At 43.4% G+C, this 13204-nt stretch overlaps 1 protein-coding gene across 3 annotated transcripts in view; it reads left to right on the top strand.

The window, feature by feature from the left end:
• ANO2 (anoctamin 2) overlaps positions 1 to 13204 on the top strand; it is a 383578-nt gene that overhangs the window by 284416 nt on the left and 85958 nt on the right. The gene's annotated exons all lie outside the window — the stretch shown is intronic.

Below are 13204 nucleotides of genomic sequence, written 5' to 3'. Positions count from 1 at the left end.
CAGCATTTCCCAGCATTGCCCGTGAAGCATTTTCAAAAACAGATTCCTGGCCCTCCCCCAGGTTCTGAGTTGGCAGATCTAGGGAAGGGCCAGGAATCGGGGTATTTTTAAAAGCCCCCCATGTGATTCCATGGATTAGCTAAAGTGGGACCCAGTGGCATCGCCCTCATGTCCCATCCCAGCCTCTGCCTGTCACAGTGGTGGCCTGTCTTCCCCATGGCCTGAGCGTCACTGAGTGCCAAGCCCCAGCTCTCCTCTTCCCATCCTCCTGGGCTGAAGGCCTGTGTTTCAAGTCCCCACCCACCCCCAGCACAGTAAGCTATAGGCACCCCTTAGAGCTCCATCAAGGCACAGAAGGGAGTTGATACAGACAGGAACAAAGGATTCTGATTCCCTTCCATGTTTATGTAGTAGGAAAACTAATGGTAGGAACTAGGAGTATTGAGCCTGAAGAAAATAAGAATAAGAGGAGATTTCATCAAGAACTTTAAACAAATGCTCTAAGGTTCCGTTCTCCAGTCTGTGGGCTAGAACATAAAGAAAAGGACCCAAATTAAGCTGCAGGCCTGGAGTTCAGACTAAGAAATTCTATGTGACCCAAAGGGACAGGAAGCACTAGGCAGAGGAGCTGAGTGTGGCTGCAGGATGGCCGTTGTAGACGTCTTTGTGATGAGCACAGGAGGCTCATGGCCTGCTCGCTAGAGGCAGGAGGGTAGATCAGATCATAGCTGGGTGTCACTTAACACTCCTTGCTGCAATGCATATGAGAAAAGCTGCTCTTCAGGTCTGTGGGCCACGCAATTGACTATTTTTCTCAAACTGTTGAGAGGTTGCTATGAACCTTTTGCATTTTTCCTTCGGTTTTCCTCAGATCCATGAGAGATTGGCACTGGTGTGTCACCTGAAGCAGTGGCACAAAATTGCTTTGTGGGGTTCTTCCTATGCAAAACTAGATTTGACCAACACAGCGACTGAATACTCATTCCCAATATTATGAGCATGGAGCACCACCAAAATGAGCCCGGCTATTGTTTCCAAACTGATATCCACTCTCTGAGTCATCCATGCAAATGAATTCTGTGATCAGCGTGACCCAAGTGCTGGATCCATGTTGAATGAGATTTGAAGTTCCTTGCTTTTATGGAGCTGATGTTTTCCTTAAAAAGCCAGTTAGGAGATGAATAAATAAACAAGATCACTTTGGATAGCAATAAGTGCTGTGGTAGAGAATAACATGGACCAGGGATGGACAAGGGGCGTGGGAAAGTTCTCATTGTGGGAGTGATGCTGGAATCGAGAATTGAAGGCTGAGCTGAGGGAGGAGCTGGGTGGAGAGTGAGGAGAGGAGTCATGCTAAGGTTTTGCTATGGAAGCCGGCTTGGCGTGTTCTAAGAACAGGAAGGAAGCCAGTGTGGCTGAGATGGAGTATACAAAAGATTGCATGGCAAGAGATAAAGTTGGAGAGGAGTCAAAGCCCGGATCATGGTAAGCATTGGAGGCCACAGCACAGGGTTTAGATGTATTCAAAGTTCATAGTCATTTGGCTTAAGATGTTCGTATGATGGTATAGAAAAGGCTGTATATCAAGGATTCATATCTCAGGATGCTCCTTGACTTACAGTGGGGTTATGGTGGATAAACCTGTCATAAGTCAGAAATATTAAAAGTAGAAAATGCATTTAATGGCCTGATAAACCTGTTGTAAAGTCGAAAAATTGTAAGTCGAACCATCATTAAGTCAGGGACCTTCTGCAGTACTAATGGAGGTTGCTGATAGCTTTAGGCTGGCCTCTCTATTTTGCAGACAAGAAGGCTCAGAGAGGGATGACGACTTGCTTGCCCCAGGCCTTCCCACCTCATTAGGAGCAACCCATCAAAGACTCATTGTACCACTATCACAAAATAAAAGGGCCTCCCTTGAGAGTGACTGGGGAGAGGCGTCTCCAATCCCAATCCAGGCAGGGCACACAGCAGAACAGCTGGGATTTAGGGAATGACCACAGAGAAGCTCAGCCCAGTACTGGAACCCAGGGAGGACGAGGCAGCGAGCTGAGAAAAAGAAAGTGGAGCTGCAAGCTCTCTGGGGAGCCAGAAAGAGCAGAGCAAGTGAGCTGGACCCCAGGAGGGGAGAAGGGGAGCCAGAGTGTTTTCTGTGTCTGCTAGGAAAACCAAGCAGTGGGAGGAAGAAAAAATGTTTTCCATTTTAGCCACAAATTACACTGCGTTCTGTCCTGGGCTTTAGGCATGCCTGCAGACTTAGGTGCTGTGCCACATGACTGCCTTATGCCCTTTTGCCAAGATTCCCCTCCTAGACTGAGGCCCTGTCCCTGAAGTCTTTCTCTACTGCTGGAAGGCTTCGAGGGTCAGTCATAGGTGAGTCCACGGGGCTGAGGGGTGGGACCTGGAGGCTCAGCTCCAGAGAGGCTGGGTGTGCTTGGGCTGTGGGGAGCAAGACCATTTTGCAGGCTGACATTATGGTGACAGGAGCTATGGGAGGCTAATGCTCAGTGAAAGGAAAGATGTGCATTCAAATACTGGCCTTACTCCTCTGGTCAGGCCATGAAGGCTTCCTGGAGGAGGAAGTATTTTAAGAGGGAGACCTAAAGAGAGAAAGAAGATGATGAAGTTGGTGGGGGAACCTCTGCTGCTATAGTAGGTGCTGTTTGTGAGAGGCCTTGAAAGCTCACCCAGCAGAGAGAGAGAGCATCGAGCAGCTTGGGTCTGAGGGGACAGTGGGACCAGGTGGTGGAATGAGTTCACACAAGGCAGTTGTGAGATTTTGGGATAAGAAGAGCAGCCCCTGGGTTTGTGCTGTAGAAAACATTGCCCATAATTAACTGGGTTTCCTTATCAGTTGGGGCCACAGGGTCCCTGGTGGATAAAGCAATGATGATGATGATGCTGCTGTTGCTGATGATGATTTTAATGATGATAATGATGTTGATGATGATGATGATATTGATGACAAGGATAATATTGATGCTGCTGATGATTTAATGATGATGTTGATGATGATGATATTGATGACAATGATAATATTGATGCTGATGATGATTTAATGATGATAATGATGTTGATGATGATGATGATGATATTGATGACAATGATAATATTGATGCTGATGATGATTTAATGATGATAATGATGTTGATGATGATGATGATGATATTGATGACAATGATAATATTGATGTTGATGATGATTTAATGATGATAATGATGATGATGATGATATTGATGACAATGATAATATTGATGTTGGTGATTATATTGATTTTGATACGATGATATTGATGTTGATGATTATATTGATTTTGATACGATGATATTGATGATGATGATGATAGTGATGATATGATGATGATGTTGATGATTATGTTAATTTTGATGGTATGGTTATGATGATGATAACAATGACGATGATGATGTTGTTGATGATGATGATGATAGGCAACAAGTATTGGGTTCTAACTATGTGCCAGGGACAGTTCTATGTATATTCCATGCATTACCTCATTTCATCTCCATAGCAGCAATCTCATACCGTTGGCACTATTTTCAATCTCTTTGTTATGGGTGAGGAAGTGGAGGTATAGAGAAGTTGGTAACATGCCTGAAGTCACACGTTCAATTAGCGTGCAAGCTGGGAATTGAACCCAGGCAGCCACCTCCAGGCTAGACCATACTGCAGTATTCCCAGGACATGGTGAGATGCCCTCCAGCAAGGAAGAAGAAAAGGGGGATGAGGAGAGGGAGAGAAAGACAAATGAGCAAATAATATTTTTTCTCAAATGTAACTTTATGGTCCCATTTCACAGATTGCTGGCCTTGAACCTCACTATCTCTTTCTCCTTTGTTTCAGTCCACATATATGTGGAGGGCTAAGGTGGCCTGAAGTCACAAGCCAGGAGATCACAGCATAACTCCTCTCAGTGTATGGCTTGCATTTATTTTGTGAAAGCAGTCAGAGTCCCCTCTCTGCCCTTGAACATGCCATTCTGTGAGAGGCTAAATTTATAGCATTGGCTGCCAGATTATTAATCTCCACCTGAAATTGCACTGGGGAATCCCCCACACTCAGGGCAACTGATGCACACAGTGGGCTGGCTCATAAAAATGCATAAAGCTCATTAACCAGAGACCTTCAGCCATGTGAGACCAGATGGCCACTTGTACCTCCTCCCTGAGCCCAGGAGCACCTGGGTTTTCCTTGATTCTCATCTCTGACAATGTCCCAAGGGCCCTCAAATGGAAAAGCATACTGCACTCCAACCTGGGTGACAGAACAAGATCCTATTTCAAAAAAGCATAACAAAAAAAAAAAATGGAAAAGTATATTGCACTTCTTCACATTTTTCCTCTCTTTCTGGAGTTTCGCTGTTTCTCAGCCTTCCCTCCCCTAAGCGCTCCACATATTCATGTCTCCTCAAGCCAGCCATATCAAATCACAATGTGTCATGGAGGCACCCAGCACGGGAATCTCATAAGTGGTGCTTGATCAACTTTAGGAGCTTGTGTTCTTGATGAGGACTTTGGAACAAACTACTGCTATTTGACTCTTTCTCAGACATAGTTGAACCTGGGCTTTAGCCTTCCACTGCCACCTCCACCCCCCATCAAGTCAATCTCTAAATCCCACTCTGCCGTGAGTCCTTTTGTCTGGGACCAGCTCCTATCTGTCATGCAATTTAAGCTGCCCTGGTTTACTGAAGTCATTCGTGGAAACAGGCTCCCCCAAGTGACTTCCTTCAGAAACCCTGTCCTGGCCCTGCCAACCTTCTCCATCCACAGTTCCCTGTGGTGTCTCTGACCACAGGCATTTGGCTTCAGTCACCTCCCAATCCGTAGATGACCTCGGCCTGCTGCAATGTCTGGGTCCCCTGTCCTGGGAAATCAAGGCAGACAAAGTGTCCATGAAGACAGGGATGAGAAACTGTCCATTTTATTTCTACCTGCCACTGGCCTCAGTGAATTCTAATAGTGTCTAGGCCATGCCCTGCATGCCTCCTTACATAGAGAGGGATCTAAGTGAGGCTGGTTAAATGCTACCAAGATTGTTTTCAGAACTGAGGTCCTGATAGCACCTGATAGGAGACACACTGGTTGAACAAACAATTAAAGAGCTTGCACTATGTATCTGACACTATGGTTAGACACCAGCTATATGGCCTCTGCTCTCCTGGAACTGACAGTTCATGAAGAGGAAAGACAAGAAAATCAATAGGTACAGTGGGTGGGGAATGAGTCAGCTGTGCAGGGCCTGAACTAAGCCATCAGAAGTACGAATGGACAGGAGAGGAAGATCAGGAGGTTTAAGAAGTAGACCCCATGACAACTGGGGCTGATCAAATGTGAGTGTGTGGGAGGAAATAACCCAAGGGAATGCCTCTGTTTCAGGTGTTGCCCGCTCAAAGGGTCATGGTTCAGTTCACGTGGTTGAGTTAGGATAAAAAAGAAGGTTTAAGGAACAAGATGATCCATTCTTTTTGTGACATTTGAGCTTAGGACATTCCACTGAAGATGCTCACTAGGCAGTTGGACAAATGAGTTTGGAGCTTAACAGAGAGATCTGGGCTGGTGATAAGAATTTGAGGGTCCTCAACAGGTGGGTGGTCACTTTTAGCTAGGAAAAGAGTATGGGGAAGTGCTGGTATTAAACTCACTGCAACCCTGTGTTCCCTCTAACTTCTTAAGAAAGCAAACTATAGCTGCTCTCCCCTCACCTTCCATCCACTTCCTTATCATCTGCAGTGTTGGTTTTACTCCCACTATTCCCTTGAAATTTCCTCACAAGGGTTGCAGATGATCTTAATGGCAAATTCTAATGGACGCCTTGCTGCTCTTAACTTACTTGAACTCTCTGTCAAGAAGAGCTGTGCCTCTATGTCCCTTCCTGAGTTTTGGTCACACTGTTCTCTTCTTACTCCTTCCAATATTTTGGCTACTTCATGGTCCATGTATTTTTTAGATGACAGAGCATTGCACGACATGAGAGGCTGTGGAGTACAAGGAAGGCACTGGACTCACACACATTGGATTCCAGAGCTGCCACTTATTCACTTGTGAATGAGTTCCATAACCTTCTGGAACCTTCAGGTCCTACGGCTATAGAATGGGAATAATAATCACACCTCACGAGTTATTGCAGTAATTAAATGGGATATGTCTAAGGCACATAGCCAATTGTCAGTCACATTGCCAACAATTTAAAAATGGTGGCTCTTATTTTTTGGTGCGTCTGCAGGCTGGGTGGCCACACCCAGCAGAAGGAAATGGTTTAAGAGAGTTAATACAGTTCCCTGACTAGCAGCAATACAGCAGCAGCAGCACTCACTGTACCTGAAAACTTATTAAAAATGCAAATTCTCAGGCCCCATTCCAGAGCCACTGAATTAGAATCTTTGGGAATGGAGCCCAGAAATCTGTTTTAACAAGTCCTGCGGGTGATTTTTAAGGTACCTGCAAAAGTCTGAAAACAGTTTTAAGATAAAGGAGAACAAAGTCCTAGAGGAGAGGCTGAGATTTAAAGGAAAGGCGGAAAGACTGGCAGTCAACAAGAGGGAGGGACATCTCTCCAAATGAGACAGAAAGGTCAGATGTGAAAAAACGAAGATAAAATTGTAGGTGGCAAAAGGAGAAGTTGAGATTCTCACATGATGATCTTGAGTTTTTTTTTCCCAATAAAAAAGTGAGGTTATGTAATGAGTGGGAGAAAAGGGATAGAAGAATAGGGGACTTGCGTAGAGAGAGGGGCAATTTGGACACAACCGATGGGTGTATAGGAGAATGAGAAAAGTATGGCCAGGCAGCAACGGGGGCACACCTGATGTTGCCAGTTGTGACTGCATAGTGACATCAATCCATGCAGTTGTGTAATTTTTTAAGTGGCACTCAGGATCCCTTATCTTATTGAGAAGTGGGATGGCTGCTCTGATTCAATATGAGGCACTGTTATGTGGCTCTGTTGGAAGAACTCAGGCACAGAAGCATGTGTGTGATGTTTAGTGTGACTGGAGTGATGGGCCAGACTGTAAATAAGAGACTAAGAGTAGTGGAAGAATAGGAAGTGAAGAGTTCCAAATATCAACATTACTTGGACTGTGGTGAGGAGCTGCTGGCCAAAGTGAAGTAGGGTTGACATTAGGACATTGAAGAGCAAGTCAGTTTCTGGATCTCAGTTGCTTGTGATGATGGCAGGATTGGGGAAGATAGTGATGCAGATGATAATCACAAAGTACAAGTCCTTATGGCTGAATGGTGTGCCCCCCAAAGGAGAGGCTCTCATAGACAGAAGAGTAAAGGCTTGGAAGTGATAGGCAGACAGCACCTCAGCTCCGCTCCTCAGACAGTACACAGAACTGAATGCAAGTAAGCAATTGCTTTCAATATTTTCCACCATCAGAATAAATCAACTACTATGGCATTAAAACATAATTCATGTTTTAAAGGCCCCTGAATATTATTTAGAATTAAAAATCTAGAAGCAACCATTCCTTATAAAGGAACCAGTTAGCAACAGCCTTCTAAACAACTGAACAGAAATATCAGAGGCCCTGTTCTGGTGTTGCCTGGAATGAAGTCACTCACTAGCCATGGGTGTGTCACCTCTCCTCCTGTACTTCAGGACTGATCTGATCAGTAAGGGACTGGATTATTTGTCCTCTATGACCCCTGCCAGCCTACTATCAGATGACTTGCTATCTGCTAGTTAGAAGTCTCATTCTGTTCTGATTTTTGATCCTTCATGTCATAATGAAAGATGCACTGTAGATTACCAGATAGTCAGGAATCTGAGTTAACCTTATCTACCTAAAACCCTGCTGCTGTGTATAATACTAACTTCTCATTACACGGAGCCATTTGATCATACTCTGTGTTATGGTATCTCCATGCTTTTGCATATGGTGCTTTCTCTGGAATACCCTCATCCCCCTTTTCATCCCGGGAAACTCTAATCATTCTTTAATCACAGTTGAAATGTCTCCTAGTCATTGAAGTCTCTCTTTAATCCTCTGGGCTGGAAGTCACTCCCTCCTCTATGTTTCCATGACACTTTGTATGTCACATCATGTCATAATTTGCGTTCATCTTTCTCAGTTTCTGCTACTACCTAGGGCCAAGAATTTGAGCTGTTCTTCTATGTATGCCTAGTGCCTGGTGCTAGCATGATGCTTGGTACATATTTGATGTTCAATGTATGCTTCCTGTATAGAAACAAGAGTAATACAACTCACAATTATACAGAACTTATAATTTTCCAAGTACTGTCACATATGTGGTATACTCATTGAGTGCTCAGTAAGGAAAGTTACCAGTTGTCCCATTAGACCCCATTAGAGATGCTGATTTGAGGACACAGATAATTTGAACAATATGCCCTAGGTTGCTCAGCTTATAAAGAGGTGGAGACGGAATGAAGCCCACATCCTGTATTTCCAAATCCATTGTATTTCTCTTCTCTTTGCCACTGCCCCCAAAATATTTGCCAGAACATAGGGTCAATGTATGAACATTTTGATAGAAGCCAGTCTGACCTATTCCTGGCCCTCTTGTTATTATCTGGAGGGTTGAGGCAGATGATGATAATGAAGTGGCCAGTGACGATGGCAAGGTTTGGCTTCCTGTCCTTTGTGGGCTTCCCAAAGAATGAGGACCACAGCCTGCTTCTTTTGAAGCCCAAATCCAGTTCCACTCCAGTCCTGGCCACTTGGCATTTATCGTCTTCATTCTCTTTTTAGGGTTGGGAGTAACCTGCACTGGTTTCACATTGGTATGACTGAGTATCTCTTCTTTACAGTCCTGCTTTAAGCAAATTCAAAATATAAAAATCTGGATTAAAAACCTAGGAGAATCTGTAGATACTGCCCCTTCAGAGAGGTGGAGTGTAATTCCCCCACCTTAAATGTGGGCACTTTGTGACTTTCTTCTGAAGAGTAAAGTATGGAAAGGAGAAAAAAAGAAACTTTGCAATAGAAAAATCTGACAGATATGATCTCCACCAGGAGATCAAGGTTGACATCATCAGTGATCAGTCATATTCTAGCCTGTACCCTTGATATGATGTGATGAAAATGGCCCCTTCCCTCTGTGGTCTTCCTCCCCCAAATGCATAACTTCAGTCTAATCATGGGAAAAACTTCAGACAAGCCTGTGTTGAGGGACATTCTACAAAATACTTGACCAGTACACCTCAAAACTAACAAAGTCACCACCACCAAGAAAAGTCTGAGAAACTATCACAGCTTCGAGGAGTCTAAGGGGACATGACAACTAAATATAAGGTGTTTTCTTGGAGGGGACCTTGGAACAGGAAATGGATATTAGGTAAAAACTAATATAAATGGTACATTATTAAATTTAAGTAATATTAGATTTTATGTTATATTTATAAGAAAATATGGATAAAGTATGAACTTTAATAATACTGTACAATATCGGTTCATTGGTTGTGAAAAATGTACTTAACTAATGTAATAGGGGAAACTGGGTGCAGGGTATATGGGAACTCCTTTGAAGCTTTTCTGTAAGTCTAAAACTATTCTAAATTAAAAATTTATTTAATAAAAGAAAGAAAATAGAGGAAGGAAATACCATATCTTATTAATGGAAATTCAAAATGGTACACCCACTTTGGGAAATTGTCTGGCAGTTTCTTATAAAGTCAAACATATACTTACCCTATGACTTGGTAATTCCATTTCTTGGTAATTATCCAAGGGAAATGAAAACCTATGTTCACACCAAAAACAGTGCACAGCCACTTTTACAATGGCTTTATTCATAATTGCCAAAAACTGGAAACAATTCAAACATCCCTCAGATAGTGAAAGGATAAATGAACTGTGGTACATCCACACAGTGGAATATTATTCAGCAATAAAAACGAACAAACTACCAAGACATGCAACCACATGGACAACATGAATTTCAAATGCACTATGCTAAGTCAGAGAAGCCAGACTCAACAGCCTGCATACTCTATGAATCCACTTATATGACATTTTGGAAAAGATAAAACCAGAGGGGCATAAAACAGATCTTGTCAGGTTCTGGGGATTGGGGGAGGTGATAGACTACAAAGGGACATGGGAGAATAATGGGAAGTGATGGTATTGTTCTATGTCTTGATTGTGGTCGTGGTTATATGACTATATATTTATCAAAACTTACAGAAGTAAACACTAATGAAGGTGAAATTTACTGTGTGTAAATTATATCTTAATTAAAAATGAAGCCAGCTGTGGTGTCCTATGCCTGTAATTTCAGCTAATCTGGAGGCTGAGGCAGGAGGATCACTTGAGCCCAGGAGTTGGAGGTTGCAGTGAGCTATGATTGTGCAATTGCACTCCAGCCTGGGTGGCAGAGTGAGACTTTGTCTCTAAAAAAAGAAAAAGAGAAAAAAAAAAGAAAAGAAGAAAACAACTCAAGGATGATTGCCACTTTACAAAATTATTCTTCAAGGGATTTGTTTAAATAGCACTCTCACCTATTGCCTTTTCAGTGATTTCATTTCCAAATGTTTAGCTTGCCAAAAGGGCACTTATGTGGTTTTATTACTGTGCTACTTGCTGTCTGGAGGCTCAGAATGGGAGCCATCATCAAGGGACATAGACACAAAGAGCTGAGACAAAGAAGCTAGCACAGAGGACAGCTAGGCTCCTGTCTTAACAACGATTGCATTAGCTAAGTGCTTTATAGTCACCTGCTTTTGATATAATCATGAAGCTGGTTAGACCTTACTTTTATGAGCCTTCCAGTTTACAAAGCTCTCTCATATGCATGCACTCATGTGATCCCACAATACCTGGGCCACTTAGGTGGGACAAGTGTTATTTCCATTTTAAAAGGAGAGAGAGGTGCTAAGAGTTCTCATACCTCTGTGTGCCTGCACTCTCTTGACCTGCTTCATAGGTTGGGTAATTTTAAATGCATGGCAATTTGGTGTGATAGATCTAACTATATTTTGCAGATAGGGCACATAAATTATTTTACAGATAAGGAAGCTGATGATCTGGGAATTTCCCAAGGTCACTCACCTAAGAAGTACCAGAGCCAAGAGTTCAGAACTTGGATGTCCTGGTTCCAAGCCTACTTCTCTTTGTACTGTCTTATATGCTGGCTATAGGATTTTTAAGCAGAGTATATTTAAATTAAGGATATTTTGCTGCAAGTCTTCGTATTGTTAATGTATCCGTGAATGGAGAGTTTTAATTGGCTTCCATTATTAGAGCCAGATTATTATAAGTAAAGACTACTTTACTCACTGTCATCTTTACTAGTGACTTTGGCAGCTTGGAAGACAGTGGTGCAATCTTTGTGTTTCTCTTGGCTTCTTATGTTGGGAGTGTCTGAATGCATGAGCACTGTGTGTGTGTTGGGAGCTGTGACTTCCAGAAAAAAGAGATCACCAATGTAAACATGAGAAGGGGTGATTTTTCAACATCCACTAGAATGTTATATCAAAATGAGCATTTTTTCTTTAAGTTGCTTTGAGAGGACATTTAATTTGGTTGCTTTTTAGTTATGTCTCATTTTTATGCAAAATAGTAATGCCACCTTCCTAATCTGGTTTAGCTTAGAAGTGCTTTTCCTTGTTTCCTTGGTGGTCTCTGAGCTCCTCCTGGGCAGAGCTGAACCTTCTCCTCAGCGTGTCCTCAGTATCTAGCACAGAGCCTGGCCCATTGGCACTGTTCAGACTGTGTCTGTTGAGTGGGACTGAACCAAGACTCCAGGGGGACTCAGGAAAAGTCCCTCCCTGGCCCCTCAAATTTCTCTTCAGAATCCCTATTGAGTGTTATCATTCGTCAGCCCATCCTCAGTTTTCCTTGTCAACAGCTTAAAGAAAAATCTTTTAAAAATACCCTTAGGTGGCTGGGTGCAGTGGCTCACACCTGTAATCCCATCATTTTGGGAGGCCAAGGCAGGCGGATCAGATCACGAGGTCAGGAGATCGAGACCATCCTGGCTAATATGGTGAAATCCCGTCTTTACTAAAAAAATACACACACACACACACACACACACACATGCACACATGCACAAACTTAGCTGGGGGCATCGTGGCATGTGCCTGTAGTCCCAGCTAGTCGGGAGGCTGAGACAGGAGAATCACTCGAACCTGGGAGGTGGAGGTTGCAGTGAGCCAAGATCATACCACTGCACTCTAGCCTGGGCAACAGAGTGAGACTCCATCCCCACCCCCCAAAAAAATACCCTTAAGGAAAACTTTAGTGTGTGAGTGAAACTAAGAATTAATACTGAAGGAAAATGAAAGAAGCTCTACTCCCTCTTGATGTTTGGCCTTATCTGGAAGAATATGAATGAGTCTTGTTCTAATCCCATCAGAAATAGGTTCATATGTTCTTATTTCTTCAGGATGGCCACAAGATGTAGTTACCTTGTTCTCATTGTGTGATGGAAAGCCTGTTGGGCTAAGAGTCTAGCAACCGGATTCTATCACTAAGTCTGTGCAAACCTGAATCTATTGCTTGTTTACATAATCTGTAAATGCAAGTGCTAATTACCAAGTGAATTCAGCTATAACACTCATTTCTACCACAATTTAGTAAGCCAACTCGACCCATCGCTCAGTTCCAGGCATGCACTGAGAATTTTCCTCTTCTCAGCTCCCTTCAGGCTCGCTCCCAAGATAACCCTCACTCCCAAACTGACCAGGGATTCTTAAACCTTTCGGTGTGTGGGTGTCATCTCTGTTTCCTTAGCCTGTGAGCTCCCCAGGAGTAGTGATCATGTCAATTTTCTTCTGTCTCCCACTGTGCGTGGCACCAAGATCAATGCACAGTGGGCCCCAGAGGGATTTTTAGAAAGAAATCTTTTAGTATAAGAATGTCCTTCACTTACAGTACAAGCTTTCAAAGGCTAGATGGCACTGTTGCTAGCACCAAATCAGGTGTGTTCTGAGTATCAGTGGTGAGGAGGGGAGAGGAGAGAGAGCAGGGGCCCTGGAGCGCTCACCGCTGAGCCCCATTCAGACACCTTGCAGAAGTACTCCTGGATTCTTGCCTTACTGGCAGGGAGTGCTCTGCCATATTCTCGGCACCTTCCCAAACACGGCTTCAGATGGTCTTCCCAGCTACCTTGTGTAGTAGGCAGGACAGCTGTATCAATTCTAATTTTATAGAACTGCAGCTCAGAGAAATCAAGTGCCTGAACTAAATTTATACAGCAGAGCTGTTTAATTAGCA

The sequence above is a fragment of the Homo sapiens genome, chromosome 12 (assembly GCF_000001405.40).
Source record: "Homo sapiens chromosome 12, GRCh38.p14 Primary Assembly".
NCBI classification, from domain to species: Eukaryota; Metazoa; Chordata; class Mammalia; order Primates; family Hominidae; genus Homo; species Homo sapiens.
Note: the sequence above shows the minus strand (reverse complement) of the source record. Positions and strands in the feature narration are given on the sequence as shown.